The sequence below is a fragment of the Homo sapiens genome, chromosome 9 (assembly GCF_000001405.40).
Source record: "Homo sapiens chromosome 9, GRCh38.p14 Primary Assembly".
In the NCBI taxonomy this organism is placed as follows: Eukaryota; Metazoa; Chordata; class Mammalia; order Primates; family Hominidae; genus Homo; species Homo sapiens.
The window spans coordinates 85,401,812-85,418,641 of NC_000009.12; the positions used below are offsets into that span (position 1 = coordinate 85,401,812).

Below are 16,830 nucleotides of genomic sequence, written 5' to 3' on the forward strand. Positions count from 1 at the left end.
AGCCGTGGGTGCAAAGGGCCATTCACAAGGAGTGTTCACCACTGCGGCCTCTGGCTTCTGCTGATCCCCTTCAAAGCCATATTTGACCTTCCTTCTCCATCCTTTTCCATCCCACTCCTCAAGCGCCCAGTTTTATATCCCTTGAACTCCAACTAGGCATTGGAAGAATACCAAATTGTACTAACAACATTCATTCTTTTCAAATACAATCAGAGCAAGACAATTGCTACAACATCTATCCTTCCAGAACAAAGTACTCACTTCCCTCAACACAGCTGACCCTCATTTACTGTGTGTAAGTAAAATGAGTCCTGAGCATCTGTTTCATGTGAATAAGGAAAACAAACAAGTCAGTGTACCATATCTGAATTTTAATAATGTCTGGCTATTATACAGCAAGGTTGCTGTACTATAAAAACTTGTTAAAGTGTGACTCATCCCACACTGTTTTCACTGGCCACCAGGCTCCCAATTAAATACCAGCCAGTGAGCTGAGTGTCTGATGAGAGACCAGGAAACCTCACTACTGATAAGGTTAATATAATTAGTTACTTTTGCTGAGTGCCTGTGAGTCGCTCCCCAAATTTAAAACACAAATAGAAAACACAAGTGGGAGCATTTCCTTCATGTGTGGAATTCCTTGTGGCTGTCTCTGCCCACCCATTTCCCCTCCTGAGTCACACCTATCTGTAAAACACCCCTGTCCACCAGCAACCAGCATTTTACAAGACATACTATTAAAAAAACTCAAAACCGGGAACAATAGGATGTGCTCTCTTTTGTAGATTTGCAAATCCGATAGAGCTGCAGGCACTTATGGGCTGTAGGAAAAGTCCTCTGATCCTGCAGCTGGAATGTGTTCTCACATTTGAAGCTCTGCGAAAGAAAGAAAAAGAAAAGTTGAAGTTTAACTCTAATGTAGGAGGCAACCTGTTGTGCAGCTGATGGCATTCAGAGACAGTCAATGTGCAGGAAGTGCAGTTTGTGCTCTGAGGTGTATCGGACTCAGCAATCCACCCAGCTGCGAGCATCTTGGGATAGAGGCTGAAAGGTACTGTCTGGAGAGAGAGTCACTCACTCACTGGTTCTCACCATTCCCCCAGGACAGCTTTTCTCACAAGCTACAGACTTTGGCCAGTGACTGGAACACATACACTTACTCTCATAGGACTCCAGCAAAACAAAACATGAATGTACTTTCAAGTGTTTGAGAATCCAAACCAAAAAAGAAAAATTTGAACGTGCCAGCCAGTATTACAGTGATGGTCCTCATTCTTAATATATGTGAACCCCAAGTCCTACTCTGATTTTTAAGCAATTAAATAGTGATGATCACAGAGGGTCCCAGGCCCAGGTGTGGGTAACAGTGTTTAGCCAGTATAGACAGGTTGACTGCAAATGTACTCACTATAGAAACACAGCAGAATTGGTCATTAACCATCCTAATAGTTGTTTTACAAATATAAATTAGAACATAATATTTTGCAATTGTATCCTGAAATAAAACCTATCACCAAAGTAAATTGCAGATTTGAGATAAAATGATAAAAGAACTAGAAGAATATGTGGACAAGTAGTTCTGTAATCTAAGAATGGGTTCGTCCTTCTAAGTATGAGACCAATGACAGAAATCACAACAGTGATGGATCTGACTGCCTAAAAACGAAAAGCAGTCAGGCAAATAACAGGAAAAAAAAATCCAAAAAACAGTAACAGCAATAAAAATTACTAACATAGGAAAGTACATAAAATTGAAAGCCTACAATCAACAGGAAAAAAATCCTTGACAACATAGAAAACAAAGAGTGAGTAAATTTAATATATACAAAGGAATTAAAAAATCATTAAGAAGAAGATCAGCACCTCATCGAAAAAAAACAAAGGACATAGTCTGGCCATTTACAAATACAGAAACTCAAATAACCAATAAACTTATTTTTTTAAGTATAATGTCCTCAATAATCAAAAAATAAAAATGTTAAATATAGATTTTTTTATTTATCCAGTTGGCGATTTTTAAAAAGATATACTGAAGGCCACTGTTGGGAAGGACGTGGGAAACCCTACCGACTGCAGGAGTGGCAATCAAGACAAACTTCCCCAGGTTGATCCTATAGCACTAGGAGGTAGCAGAAGCCCTACAATTTACATTTCATTTGACATTGGAATTTCACATTTAATCTAATGAAACAATAATGTATAAGCACAACAATGAAACCATAACATTTATCACAGCGCATTTATAAAAGGGAAGTTGTATGGGGTAAATCAACTAAAGAACATCTATAAAATAGAACACTAGACAGGTTAAAATTATATTGGAAAGGCGTTCATGGACTGTTAAATTTTAAGGTTGATTACAAAACAATACGATCCTATATTTATAGACATTATATACATATGAGCACACACCACATATATATATCTATATGAAAGACATGTATACTCATGCACCACGTAATGATGTTTCAGTAAACAATGGACCACACATTTGACTGTGGTCCATAAGATTATGATGGAGCTGAAAAATTCCCATCACCTAGCGATGACGTAGCCTTCCTAATGTCATTGCATTTCACAGTTCTCATGTGTTTGTGGTGATGCTGGCGTAAGCAAACCTACTGCACTGCCAGTTGTATAAAATTCTAGAACATCCAACTTATGGAGCTTATATAATACTTGATAATGATAATAAACAACTATGTTACTGGTTTATGTATTTACTATGCTAGATTTTTTATTATTGTTTTAGAGCCTACTCTTACTCAGAAAAACAAAATGTTAACTATAAAACTGCCTGAGACAGGTTCTCCAGGAGGTATTCCAGAAGAAGGCATTGAAATCATAGGAGATGATGGTTCCATGTGTTACTGCCCTTGGAGACCTTCCAGTGGGATAAGATGTCGAAGTGGAAGACAGTGATATTGATGATCTTCACCTAGGCTACTTATATGTTTGCATTTTAGTTTTTAACAAAAAAAGTTCTAAAAACAAAAAATTTTAAAAATAGGAAAAAGCTTTATAGAATAAGGATATAAAGAAAAAAACATGAACAGCTGTACAATGTGTTCATGTTTTAAGCTGTTATTACAAAACAGCCAGAAGTTTTCTAAAAAAAAAAATTAAAACATTTATAAAGCTAAAAATTTGCAGTAAGCTAAGGTTTATTTATTATTGAAAAGAATATTTTAATAAATTTAGTGTAGTCTAAGTGTCCAGTGTTTATGAAGTCTACAGTAGTGTACACTCATGCCCTAGGCCTTCACATTCACTCACCACTCACTCACTGACTCACCCAGAGCAACCTCCAGTCCACAAACTCCATTCAGCGTCAGTGACCTATGCAGGTGTACCATATCATATTTTTACTGTACCTTTTCTATGTGTAGATATGTTTAAATACACAAAGACCATTGTGTTACACTTGCCTACAGTATTCAGTATGTAACATGCTGTACAGTTTGCAGCCTGGGCACTAGGCTGTCCCACACAACCTAGGTGTGTAGTAGGCTCTTCCATCTAGGTTGGTGCAAGTCCACCTTACAATGTTCACACAATGATGATGTGGTCTAACAATGCATTTCTCAGAATGGATTCCTATCCTTAAGCGATGCATGACTATTCTCAGAAAAAAACAAAAAGGAAGTAAGCTAAAATGTCAGCGGTATCTATAATGAGATCATGAATGATATTTATTTTATTTTTATTGCTTATCAATAGTTTCTAAATTTTTTATATAACATGTAACTTCTGTAACAATTTTTTCAAATGCTGGATATTTTAAATAGAATTTTACAAGGTTACAGGAAAAACAAACAAACCGACAGGCTTATGTTTTTCCCACCAAACTAAATGGCTTTCATTTACTGCTTCCAAGGATTATGCAGCCTCTCTCTCCCCTGATCTGCGTCCAACTCTGAAATAATTTCCTTCACATCATGAAAAAATTATTCGAAACCCCAAGCTCACTCATTCAATTAACTCCCTACCTCTTCCTTACTCAATATTCAATTAACATTGAATCACTTTAAGTCTTGCTATTTTAAAACTCGCCCTGGTTAATCTGTTTTTTTAAACGGCTAGCTCTTCTTTTTACCTCTGAGTCTTTGTACGTGTCTGGACATAAGAGGACATTTGGAAACAAGGAACCTGGTGGGTCTTCACAGAGATGCTTCACTCACCTTCCAGTGTCCACTGTAAAGATGCATAGGTGTGGACAGCAAAGTGGAACAATGTAGAAGCTTCCAGCTTGGAACCAGATGACATGTCCAGGAAAGCAAGGCATGGTGTGACATGAGAATGCCTGGCACAGGTCAAGCTGAAAATCTTTTTTTTAATGTCCAGACTGTGCAATGCATGGGGCTCTGGCCCCTGTCTGCAGCTGGACCCCAGAGTGGCTTTGGACAAGCAATTTAATTGATCCGGGCATCAATTATCTCATTTCTAAAACTACAAATGACATCTAAACCGATGGTAGCTTACATCCTTTTCAACCCAAATTATGTTCTCTAACACATCCCTTGAATCAGACCATAGCCCAGTGTCATTACAAATGCATTTCCTTTTGTTACTATGTATTCTGGGGGTATTTCATCTATTTCACAAATTGTTCCAATGTTCATCACATCTTATGAATAATGGACTTCTTTTATCATTTTCCTCAGGTTTTCTCCATCCTTCATTTTCTCCCCTCTTCCATCTTCCTGCATTGATTCAGACTACATGTGAGTCATTTATTTCTCTACAGACTGGGGACTGGCCCTTTGTTTTTTAACCTGAGGGAAGTTCATCATGGGAAATGTTTTCATCTATTAAAACTTACCACATATATTGTTATTTCAAGTTTAAAAAAGAAACAGTCAGAAAACAGAAGAGTAAAGATTATAAAAGATATCCTTTATGTGGCCCAGAATGGGGCTAACTTTCTGTAAAGTTTGCAAACAAAAGAACTATTCTCAATCCAAAGCAAAGACAATCTTCCTGACCCCCTCATCCAAGACAAAAGAGGTCATTACTATCTCAAAATGCTGATGAGGGTACAGAGAAACCTGATCGCTGGTACGTTAGTTTACTAGTGGGAAAATACAATTGCATAGCCACTGTGAAAAAGAGTGTAACAACTTCTCGTAAAACGAAATATGCACTTACCATATGACCTAACAATTATACTCTTGGACATTTATGCCAGAGAAACAGAAACTTACATCCACACAAAAACCTGTAGACAGGTGTTCATCACAGCTTTATTCATAATAACCCCAAACAGAAACCAGCTGGACGCAGTGGTTCATGCCTGTAATCCAAGCACTTTGGAAGGCCGAGGTGGGAAGACTGCTTAAGCCCAGGATTTCAAGACCAAACTAGGCAACATAGTGAAACCCCTCTCTACAAAAAATATGAAAATTAGCTGGGCATGGTGGCATGTACCTGTGATCCCAGGTACTTGAGGGGGGCTGAGGCAGAAGGAGCACTTGACCCGGAGGTCAAGGCGCAGTGAGCCCTGATTGCACCACTGCACTCCAGCCCGGGTGACAGATTGAGACCTTGTCTCAAAAATAAAATAAAGAAAAAAAAAGAACCAACTAAAATGTCCTTCAGTGAGTGAATGGTTAAACAAACTGTAATACATTCAAACCATGAAATATTACTCAACAGTAAAAAGGAACAAACTATTGATTATACACAGTAACTTGAATGGATCTCAAAAGGTTATGCTGAGTAGAAAAAAACATCTCAAAAGGTTGCAGCTGTATGATTGCATTTACACAACATTCTTGAAATGCAAAATTATAATAGACAATAGATTAATGGTTGCTGAGGGCGGGCATGAGGGGAAGGGAGTATCTGTGGCTATAAAGGGATAACAGAAGGGATCGTTGTGAAAATGTCCCATATCTTCACTGTGGTGGTGGTCACAGAAGTCTACACAGGTGATAAAATTATTAGAACTAAATATACACATACACACAAATGAGCATGTGTAAAACCAGTAAAATCAAAATAAGGTCACTGGATTGTATCAATCTGAATTTTCTGGTTTGATATTATGCTATAATTACGTAAGATGTTGAGAAAGAGAGGAAGATGGAAGAGAGAGAGATACTAACAGCAAATATATGGACAATGAAGAGCTAGAGAATGAAACTTAGTATTGAATTTTTCCTGTAAAATGTTCTTATCAAATGGAAATACAAATCTTCGTAGTCCACATTTCCTGAAATTTTACATTATTCCTAACTTTAGGTGTTCTATTTTGTCGTGGTTGTCATGGTGATATTTAAAGAGGGAGAACTGTACAGTGCTATACAAAGGATCCTATTTTCTTCAGAGAACTGGAATAGCATTTCCTTAGCGTAGCATCTGCCACTGGTTTCCCACCCACATGGCTTGGCCCACCTCAGCGGTCACCTGCAGACAAAAATGCCAGGGAGTTGACACTTCAGGAGCAACCCACAAGCAATGATGGACAAGGGTTGGTGAGCGATGCTGCATGTTCCTCCCCCACCAGGGTGCATCAAGGTACGCTCTCCACCGTCTCTCAAAGGTCCCCGACAGGTTGAACCCCAGCTGCCCTCCCCAGGTTACTGTCACACCACTTCCTTCTTTCCTGTCACCCTCTCCCTCATTCCATCTCTCAAACAAACCACTTAAACCCAATTCCTTGTCTCAGGGTCTGCTCTTGGAAGGACCCATAAAGAGTCTTACACTGAAGATTCCTAGGTACCGATTCCAAGGTCCTGATCTTTAACAATTGAGCTTCTCCTTTTCCTCATCATTACCAAACTCAGAGAAACTGCAACAAACCTCATGGAGATGTAACAAAATCTGATTTGTTTATTTAGCACTGACGACAATGCCCTTGGGTAAATACAGGCTTAGGCATGTCTGAATGGTCTCTATTTACCTGGTAACAAACATGGACGAGGGCCATTAGGCTGTTTGTTTAATAACTAACTATAGGCCAGGCAGGGTGGCTCATGCCTGTAGTCCCAGCACTTTGGGAGGCCAAGGCGGGCAGATCACCTGAGGTTGGGAGTTCAAGACCAGCCTGACCAACATGGAGAAACCCCGTCTCTACTAAAAATACAAAATTAGCCAGGCGTGGTGGTGCATGCCTGTAGTCCCAGCTACTCAGGAGGCTGAGGCAGGAGAATTGCTTGAACCCAGAAGGTGGAGGTTGTGGTGAGCTGAGATTGCACCACTGCACTCCAGCCTTGGTGACAAGAGCGAAACTCTGTCTCAAAAAAACAAAACAAAACAAAAAAACTAACTATAAAGACTTTTTCTAGCCGGTTCCATTCACTGAAGCAAATCTGCATTCAGCGTACACTTTTTCAGAAAACTGACACACTTGTGTTCCAGTTCTAGTTTCTAGAAGAAGTCCAACCTGGATCTACAAACCCAGTAGTCCTGTCCAGAGAGCTGAGGTGTTGGCTGGTTTCCAAGGTACCAGCTAAGTGACTTGAGAAAGACAACTTAAAGCAAACTCTGGTCAGAAAAATGAAGAAAGTAAAAGAATGTTTTAAGATCCGAAAAAATTCTAAATACAGTCAGTCATCTTTAGGTATACTTGGGAAATTGGTCCCAGGACCCCCTCGTACACCAAAATCCACACATACTCAAGTACTGCAGTCAGCCCTGTGGAGCCCTCACGTAGGAAAAGCCAGACCTCCTCATATGTACATCAGCCACAGCCCTATTAATTAATACCTTGAATCACTCTTCCCTCAATTTTGGCTGGTGGCAAGGCAGCCCTCTACTGTCATCATTTTCAATGGTTCTGCTATAAATATGTCTCTGTGTGTCTACTTAAACAGGGTAATATCTAAATGTACTTTATAAGCATATGAATGGAGCACCTGAAAGAAAGTGAACTGGAGGTCTGAATATTTAGACCTGTGCCTGGGGAGTGGCAAGAGGCAGGGAGGCAACTTTGGTCAAGTTCCTCAGACTTCCTGGGTCTCTGTTTACTTATCAGCAAAATAAAGGGTTTGAATTAGATAAGAAAGGAAGGCAAGCTCTGTTCCAACTTGACAAGTCTGTGATTCTAGATAATGTTTTTCTTTAGCAGAAAGGAGATCTGTTGATAGTATTATCATCCATGCACTGATTCACTGAACATTCCCTAAGCATCCTCTATGTAGCAAGTACTGAGCAAGGGATACCAAAATGTCACCTTGCATGAACAGATAGGCCTGGTCCAGGCTCTGCCACTGCCCTGCTTCTCACCTCCACTATTCCCTTCATCTTGGCTTCCTTTACTTCAGGTCCAATGTGCCAGGAGCCAGTGTCCACCAGGCCAAGCTTAGGACATGTGCCTACATGTCCAACAAGATAGATGGACAAAGGATCTGACTTCCATCAGCTTTCATGGTGGCGGGCAGCCGGGAGTGGCTATCACCAGGAACTGCCCACCCACCATGATGATACACAATAGCAAATTGCTCCAACAGGAGACAAGGCCACACAAGGAAGAGGGGGATTTGGATGTGAGACAGCAAAAAGAGGACACGTGTCATCCACATCTGCCTCCTTGAGCTCCTTGACATTCAGTGCCAATGTGTGACTACATCTGTGCACTTGAGGGAAAGAGAGGAGCTTTAAACTTCATCCAGCTCTCTAAGGATGCTGATAGAGGCAGAGAGAAGGTGGGCCTGAGGGGTCTCTCCTGCTTTGGGGACAGATTGCTTTCCAGTTCACTTTTCATAATGTTCTCACATGAGACATGGCCAGGAGGAAGGCCCTCAAGAATCTGGAGGTGGATATTGGGATCCCCTTTCTGGCTCTATCTGACTCTCAGTGTTTTGTCACCACCCCACTCTCAAAGGGCCAGCAGAGAAAATATTTAGGGCAGTATTCAGGACAAGGTGCCATGCAGTGCCTGGGTTACCGGACACATGGGGAACTTCCCAGCATTTCACAGGTGAACACCACTGGCTGTGCTGGCCTAGGTTGGCAGTGGGTTTGGCCCTCCCCCAATGTATCAAAAGTTGACAGCATCAGGCTGTCCCAGATGCTGGTGCCAATGTACCTCATACCTACTTGGTGCTAGAAATCTTTCTGTCTCTACCACTCCCTTCGCTCCATCTCCTCACTCACTCACTAACCAGTATCCTTAGAAGACCATTGTAAAAGAAACTTTGACATTTTGTACTCAACCCTAAAGAAATTACACCTAAAATTCATATGGGAACACAAAGGATCTAGAATAGCTAAAACAAGCTTGAAAAAGAACAACAAAGTTGGAGGAATAACACTGCCTGATTTCAAGATTTATTACAGCCATAGATAACAACATAATGTAGTATTGACATGACAGACAAAGAAATCAATGGAATAGAATAGAGTCCAGAAGTAAACGCACACACATACAGACAATTGATTTGCAGCAGAGTTGCAAAAGTGGAAAATGAACAGTCTTTTCAACAAATGGTCCTAGATTAATTGGATGTATATGAGCAAAAACAAACAAACAAAACAAAACAAAATATAAATAAATTTTTAAAACCCTCATATTTAGATTTTACATAGGCCTGTGATGCATTTTCAGTTAATTTTTCTTAGGTAAGTGTCCAAAAACATGCTCTATAAAAGAACAAATTGATAAATTGGTCATCATAATTTAAAACTCCCATTCTTCATAAAACACTGTGAAGATAAAATATTTGCAAATCGCAGTATGTAAAAATTTAGAGTATTTAAGAACTCTCAAAACTCAATAAAATAACAAATATTAAAAATTGAGTGAAGATTTGAATATATGCTTCATCAAGGAAGACAATTTGGGAGGCCGAGGCATGTGGATCACCTGAGGTCAGGGATTTGAGACCAGCCTGGCCAACATGGTGAAACCCCATCTCTACTAAAAATACAAAAATTAGCGGGGTATAGTGGCACACCCCTGTAATCTCAGCTACTTGGGAGGCTGAGCCACAAGAATCACTTGAACCTGGGAGGCAGGGATTGCTGTGAGCCGAGATCACGCCATTGCACTCTAGCCTGGGTGACAGAGTGACAGAGTGAGACTTTGTCAAAAAAAAAAAAAAAAAAAAGACAGACAAAAAAGATGCTCAAGATCAATACTCATTCAGGAAATGCAAATCAAAACTATAATGAAATACCACTACACACCTATTATAATAGCTAAAAATTGACACGTCTGACCATACCAACTATTAGGGAGGATGTAGAAAGAACCAGAATTCTCATACACCATTTGTAGGAATATAAAAATGGTACAATCATTTTGGAAAAATTAGGCAGCAGCTTAAAAATTTCAACATAGGATCAGCCATTCCATCGCTATGTATTTACCCAGGAGAAATGAAAGCATATGTCAGTGCAAAGCCTTGTATGTGAAATTCACAGCAGCTTTATTGTAATAGCCACAAACTAGAAACAACCCATATGTCCATCAGCAAGTGAACAGGTAAACAAATTGTGTTATAACATATAATAGAACACTACTCAAACATAAAACAAATGAACTATTGATACATGCTGCAACATGAGTAATTCTCACAATAACTATGCTGAATGAAAAGAAACAGATAAAAGGAAATATTGTATGTTGCCTTTTATATACAATTCCTGAAAACGCAAACTTACAGATAGAGACAGAAGTTAGATCAATGTACTGGGCACCTTCCGGAAGGGTGCAGTTGACAAGGAGGGGATGAGAGAAGAGATTACAAAAGGCAGGAAGAAATTTTTGTGAGTGACCTGTACAGTATCTTGATTATGTGCATATGTCAAAACTTACCAAAGTGTGCTCTAAGTATATGAGCTTATTTTATTTTGATTATATATCAATTTTTTTAATGAAGGGGAAAACATCTGAACAGCATGAGCCTTCCATAAGTAGGAATCAGCAGGTTCAAGGCTAAGCCATAGATACTTTCTGACTGTGCTCCTCCTGAAGCCCCGCTACCCCTAGAAGTAATAAGCACTATCCTGTGTTTTGTGGCTGACATTCTATTGCTGTTTTTAAAAATATGTTTACTGGCTGGGTGCAGTGGCTCATGCCTGTAATCCCAGCACTTTGGGAGGCTGAGATGGGAGGATCACTTCAGGCCAGGAGTTTAAAACCTGCCTGGCCAACATGGTGAAATCCCACCTCTACTAAAAACACAAAAATTAGCCAGGCATGGTGGTGTGTGCCTGTAATCCCAGCTACTTAGGAGGCTGAGGCAGGAGAATCGTTTGAACCTGGTAGGTAGAAGTTACAATGAGCCAAGATCATCCCACCGCACTTCAGCCTGGGTGACAGAGCGAGACTCCATCTTACACACACACAGACACACACACACACACACACACACACACACACACAGGCAGAAAGTTTACTATTTTGCTTATTTAGCTTAATTTTTACTATTTAGCTTAATTTTGTTAGTTCTGACCTTTATATAACAAAATCATGTTCAACATATTCTTCTGTGGCTTGCTTCTCTTGTTCTATAATTTGTTAGTGATATTCATGCATGCCAACGTGTGTAGTAGTAATAGCAGTGCATTCATTTTCACTGCTGTATAGTATTCTGAAATGTTCATTCCATTCTTAGTGAACATTTGTATTGTTTCCAGTGTTTTACTGTTTAAACATTGCTGCTGTGAGTGTATGTGAAAGAAGGACTCCTAGGTGTAAACCTAATGATAGAATTGCCCTGCCATAGCATATATGCATATTCCTCTTTATTAAATAATGCAGAATGATTTTCCAAGTACTTGTATCAATTTTCCCTCTCACCAGCAGTATATAAGAGATCTGGTTACTTTGTATCCTCAACAACACTTAATATGTTCAGTCTTTTTAAGACCAATCTTGGGTGTGCAAAATGGCATCACAAGATGGTCTTTAATTTCCCTTTCCAAAGATCACCTCTTTGCCTATTAGTCTTTCTTATCACGTTCTAGTCCTGAAGGGCTTATGATTTAGGATTGCTCAGCGACATAAAACCAGGGGATAAATGTTTTGCTGAATCCCTGCTGCTTCCCCATCTTCCAGCTACCCCAAGCCCACACACGGGAACACACACACACACACACACTTAGCACATATCTAGCATGCAGCACCAACTAATGTCAGTGGAATGAAAAAACGATGCTTGTTCACAGGCCTCCCAATCCACAGGGCTCAGAAGGGAACAAAATAGGAACCTTGCCTGTGCAATCAGAGAAGGGCAGGTAGGGTGTTGGATGAACCCATCTCTTGCAAGTTAGATCTCACGTGCCACTGTGGGGAGAGGCACAGGGGCACCGAAACATGGAGCCTGGGGGAAGGATCCGTGCCTTGTTTTTGTATTTTATTTCTCTTGGCAATAATTCTCTGTTGTTTGCACTGGAACCTCACATGAGAACATCAAATGGGGTTAAGGGTGGAGGGGAAAATGATGCAAAAGAATGTCCATCTTATTCTGATTCATAGAGCGATTTCCACCCAGGACTAAGAACAGTGATGGTAGGATCCTTTACCAACTTGATCAACTTCCTCATCTCACTACAATTTATTTGATCTCTGCCTCCCTTTTTCAGACAGAGACCAAAGAGTGGCCTCCTCCAGAGGGAGAGGAATGAGCTGGGCAGATGCTGAGTAAGTCCACTGACAGCCTGAGCTCAGTGACAATAATGCTGGGTGAAGCACTCATCATGACAGCCACGTTGGGCTGTTGTCATGATTGGCTGCATCATTAGGTCCCTTCCTCTTGCCTGTTTCCCCTTCACCCTCCCACAGCCACCAGTGGCGTACTCCTGGCAGCTGCCTCTTTGCAGAGTCTCCTTGCCCTGAAATTAAACCCATCAAACTGTCAGCCCCATTGCTGGGGCTGCTCTCATGTCAGCCCATGTCATGATGACAGATGATAGAAATGCTGCTATTCAGGCTTCATGGGGAGCGTCTGTTTCCTTTTTTAAATCGCTTTAAAAAGAAGATTGAGAGAAGATACCTGCTTGGCGGACAGAGCAGGATGACTAAGACAGCAAGTTCTTTTGCTGGCTCTTCTTGCCCGCTCAGTAGTTCTGGGTGACACTGCCTCTAGAATGTTAGGACCAGAGACAGCAGGAAGCCATCAGGGTAAGGGTGGGGAGCAAACTTCCAAAGAGAACAGCCTTGAGAGAGAGGAAGGAGAAGGGAAGGGACAAAGGCAGGTAAAGTCTTCCCCTTCCTGGAGTCGGCCTCTTCATAAACATCACCCAGCACATTCTTTATAAGCCCAGAGTCCTGGCCCTTGGTTAAAACTCAGTCTTGCATTCTCAGAAGAGTAGACTGGTAGAGATCAACTTTAAGATTTTTGTCCCAAGGCAATTCCAAAGCTTCCAGAATATCAGAGGTTTTCTCCTTCAGCCCTTCCAAGTGCATTGGCATTTACAGCATGGTGAGAGGGGGCAGCACGGAAGCTGAAGGTTTTTTACCCCAAACACAAACAGCCTCCTCTTTGACACGCTTATGATTCAGGATTGCTCAGCAACATAAAAGCTGTGGGAAAAATGCATTAACTGAATTCCTGCTGCTTTCCCATCTTCCAGCTACCCCAAGCCCACACACAGGAACACACACACACACACACACACACACACACACACACACACACGATGGATGTATAATTGCAACAACTAAATGGCCTGAGACACAAATTAAACATCCACATTCAGCATCCAAGCATAGAGATGGGAAGAATCTCACAGCAACTGTCTCTCCTTTTCCTCTCAATTTAGAGATGAGGACATTGAAGCCCAGAGAAATTAAGTGACTTTTCTAAAACTGCACAGCTTGATAGTTACAAATAAGGGAAAAGGATCCTGGAATCCTTCAATCCTGCCTTTTAGGGCTGAATTTGACCAAACAAGGAACAAAAACTAATTGGGAACTCTTTCTCTGGAGGAGCACAGAGAACTTTGAAGCATTGCAGAGAACCACTCCAGAGGAAAGGCTTATCTGAGATTATTCTGGAAATGAGAAAAGATCAGAGAGCACCTACTTTAAAAACAGATGAAAAGAAATTTATACAGGGCAGCTTTACCTTACAGAAAACCAGCTTAGAGTAAATGGTTGAGGGAACTTTGCATATGGGCAATGCCAAGTATAGATCAGACTTCAGTGTTCAGTGATGCAGATGGTCCTAGAATTTCCTTAGCAGCTCGCTGCTGGGAGCTGACCTTCCCCAGGAGCCATAAGAAGAGGCTTTGAGGAACAGCAACATCATGCGAAGCATAACGCTAATTATAGTTTTCACTTATTGAGCACATATAATATACCTGGCACTGTTCTAACAGTCTTATGTTTATAACTTATATAGCCCTCACAGCAATGCTGTGAGTAGATAACACTATCTTCGTCATAGTTACAGATGAGTGACCTGAGACGTTGAGAGGTTATGAAGCCTTTTTAAGTGGGACAGCCAGTCCTAGGTGTTAGAGACCATTTGAATGCAGGAGTGTGTCTGAAATCATGCTCTTAATCCCGTTGCTGTACTGGATGAGGGTCAGGAGATGAGCTTACTTTGCCATGGTGAGGTGACTCATTCCAGTTGTCCTCGATGGCTTCTAGGGAGATGGACATTCTGGACCTGCTCTGCCACAGAGGTGTGGCTTTGGGCAAGTGTGCAGTAAAGGGTTGCCTCAACAGACCTGAGTTGCCCAAACCCCACACATTCTAAAGATCTTCAGGAATGGCCCTTGACCAGCTCCAGGGAGATCACCTCTGAGCCCTTGGAATATCCTGCTTGATAAGAGTGTCTCTGTATACCTGGGGCCCTGGGCTGCGTTAGACAGTTTATGCTAACAATGTGATTTATGGATGGACTCTTGGGCCACACTATATCAGTTTGACCTCTGAGGGGCAAGTGAGAGACACTAGACACTTCATGCTTATGTGACTGCCCCCTGACCTCCAAGAAAGCCCTGGACACCAAGGTTCAGCTGAAGCTCCCTAGTTAGTGTGTGTTGTCACACATTGTAGCTGAGTGAATTCAACACTGTCAGCCAACTACATAAGGAGAGGAAAACTAAAAGCTCAGACTTGGTTTTTTTCTGCACTTTGCCCTATGAGCACTTTTCTTGTGCTGACTTTAATCTGCATCCCTTCACTCCAGTAAACTGTAACCAAGATTATAACATTTTTTCTGAGTTCTGTGAATCATCCTATTGAATCATCAAACCTAAGTGTGGATTTGACTACCTTGACACAGCAAGGTAGTCAGTATCCCCCAGTAGCTTCTTATATAAAATGAGAGAGTTGACCTACAGCCCTAGATGATTTCCAAGGTTTCTTCAACTCTGTCTTTAGGCGTGCTTCATAATCCTGTGGGTTTTTTTCCTAGTCTCTTGTGTCTTATTGTGCAGTCCCATCTACAGTAGGGACTTCCCGGCTGCTGATCCCTGACATGACCTCCAAACAAATCAACTTTCCCTGGCAGAGAAGGGGATGTAGTTGGATCTCCAAAAAATGTGTTGCAAAGCCTGCAACACAAAATAATGTTCCAGTATCCATTCTCGCCTCCTTCCCTGCTAATAGAACCCTATTTAAACTGGGTACCTAGGAACCTGGAATAAAGAATAAATTTCCCAGCCTGCCTTGCAGCTAAATGTGGCCATGTGACTAAGTGCTGGCCAATAGTATGAAAGCACACGTGTGATGTGGGACTCCTGGGAAATGCCTTGAAAGAAGAATGCTCTCATCACCCCCTCCTTCTTGCAGTTGTGGTGCAGGTATATGGTGACATTTGGGTAGCTTATTGGCCCATAAGGAAGAAACCATGTTCTAAGGATGGCAGAACAAGGACAGGAAAGGAGACTGGCTCCTCGGGATTCTGCAAAGCCACCTGTCAGCTACGAACTCTCTCCTCCACACTTCTTTCCCCTGAAAAACAAACAGAATCCATCTTGCTTAAGCCACTGTTATTTTGGATTTTCTGCCACACAGCTGAGCCTTTCCTAACCAGCACAGACTGCATCTCCCACCTAATGAAAGATTAACAGGGCTCCCAATCTCAGCCCATCCATTGCCTGTACGAGAAAGCAATGATGATTCATTTAAAAGCACTCTATTCGGAATACTATCTTCTCCTATTTCCTACAAATCAAATTACCAAGAGACCAATTGGATTTTTCAAGTCCCTCAAAATGTTCTTTTTAGATGTTCTTGGTATTAAATAGTAACAGAATTTAAATGGCATCAACAAAACACACAGACGTGACTGTGGTGATAAGTTACATAAATCTGTGAGGGAAAGAACCTCACAAGAACATAATAGATGTGACAGAGATGGAAAACAGCAAGTCGGATCTGAGGGATTTGCCTCTGGCTTCTACCACCTGGCCATAGGCAGCCACCTACTCAGGTTCAGGGGCACCTTCCCTGCTCTTAGGGAGAGTAAAATCCAAGTGGATGGGGGAGAAGGGTGGCTGGTTAAAGAACTACAAATCTACCTCAATATTCTTATTTCCCGAACACCCATTGCAGACCCTGAGCTTCTTGCAATCATTAGCAGAAGCTGCGTTTCACTCTTGCTTCGTATTCCTAGTGCCAAGAATGGTGCCGAGCATAGAAACAGTTCCATGCCTGGAGGCCTGGCTTCGAGCCCCAGCTCTGCCAACCACGGGTGCTACTCACCAGGGGACAAAACCTGAGTCCTAATTATGTGCCAGGTACTATGCAAACCACTCTACCTTCACCTTCTGTAACCTTCACAACAACCCTCTGAAGCATTCCTGTTACCATGCCCATCTACAAACGAAGCCAATGAGCCATGAAGAAGGTCAAGCAATTGCCCAAAGTCACTCAGCTCCCGAAGTGCAGAACAAGGATTCGAACCCGGTGGTCTGACTTCAGAG

At 41.4% G+C, this 16,830-nt stretch overlaps 1 long non-coding RNA gene across 1 annotated transcript in view, besides 1 other annotated feature; it reads right to left on the bottom strand.

Moving 5' to 3' along the window:
- Nucleotides 1-356: 356 nt before the first annotated feature.
- LOC105376121 (uncharacterized) overlaps nucleotides 357-16,830 on the bottom strand; it is a 42,215-nt gene continuing 25,741 nt past the window's right edge. Inside the window, exon 3 of the long non-coding RNA XR_001746810.2 lies at nucleotides 357-876. This is a non-coding gene — a long non-coding RNA (uncharacterized LOC105376121). The remainder of the gene's footprint in view (nucleotides 877-16,830) is intronic.
- Nucleotides 12,975-14,174: an enhancer, noted in NCBI's record as "CDK7 strongly-dependent group 2 enhancer chr9:88029701-88030900 (GRCh37/hg19 assembly coordinates)". NCBI's record gives its function as "activates an origin of replication core promoter dependent on BRD2, BRD4, P300/CBP, MED14 and CDK7 cofactors, with strong dependence on CDK7, by STARR-seq in HCT116 cells {active_cell/tissue: HCT116}" and the evidence as "EXISTENCE:reporter gene assay evidence [ECO:0000049][PMID:35650434]".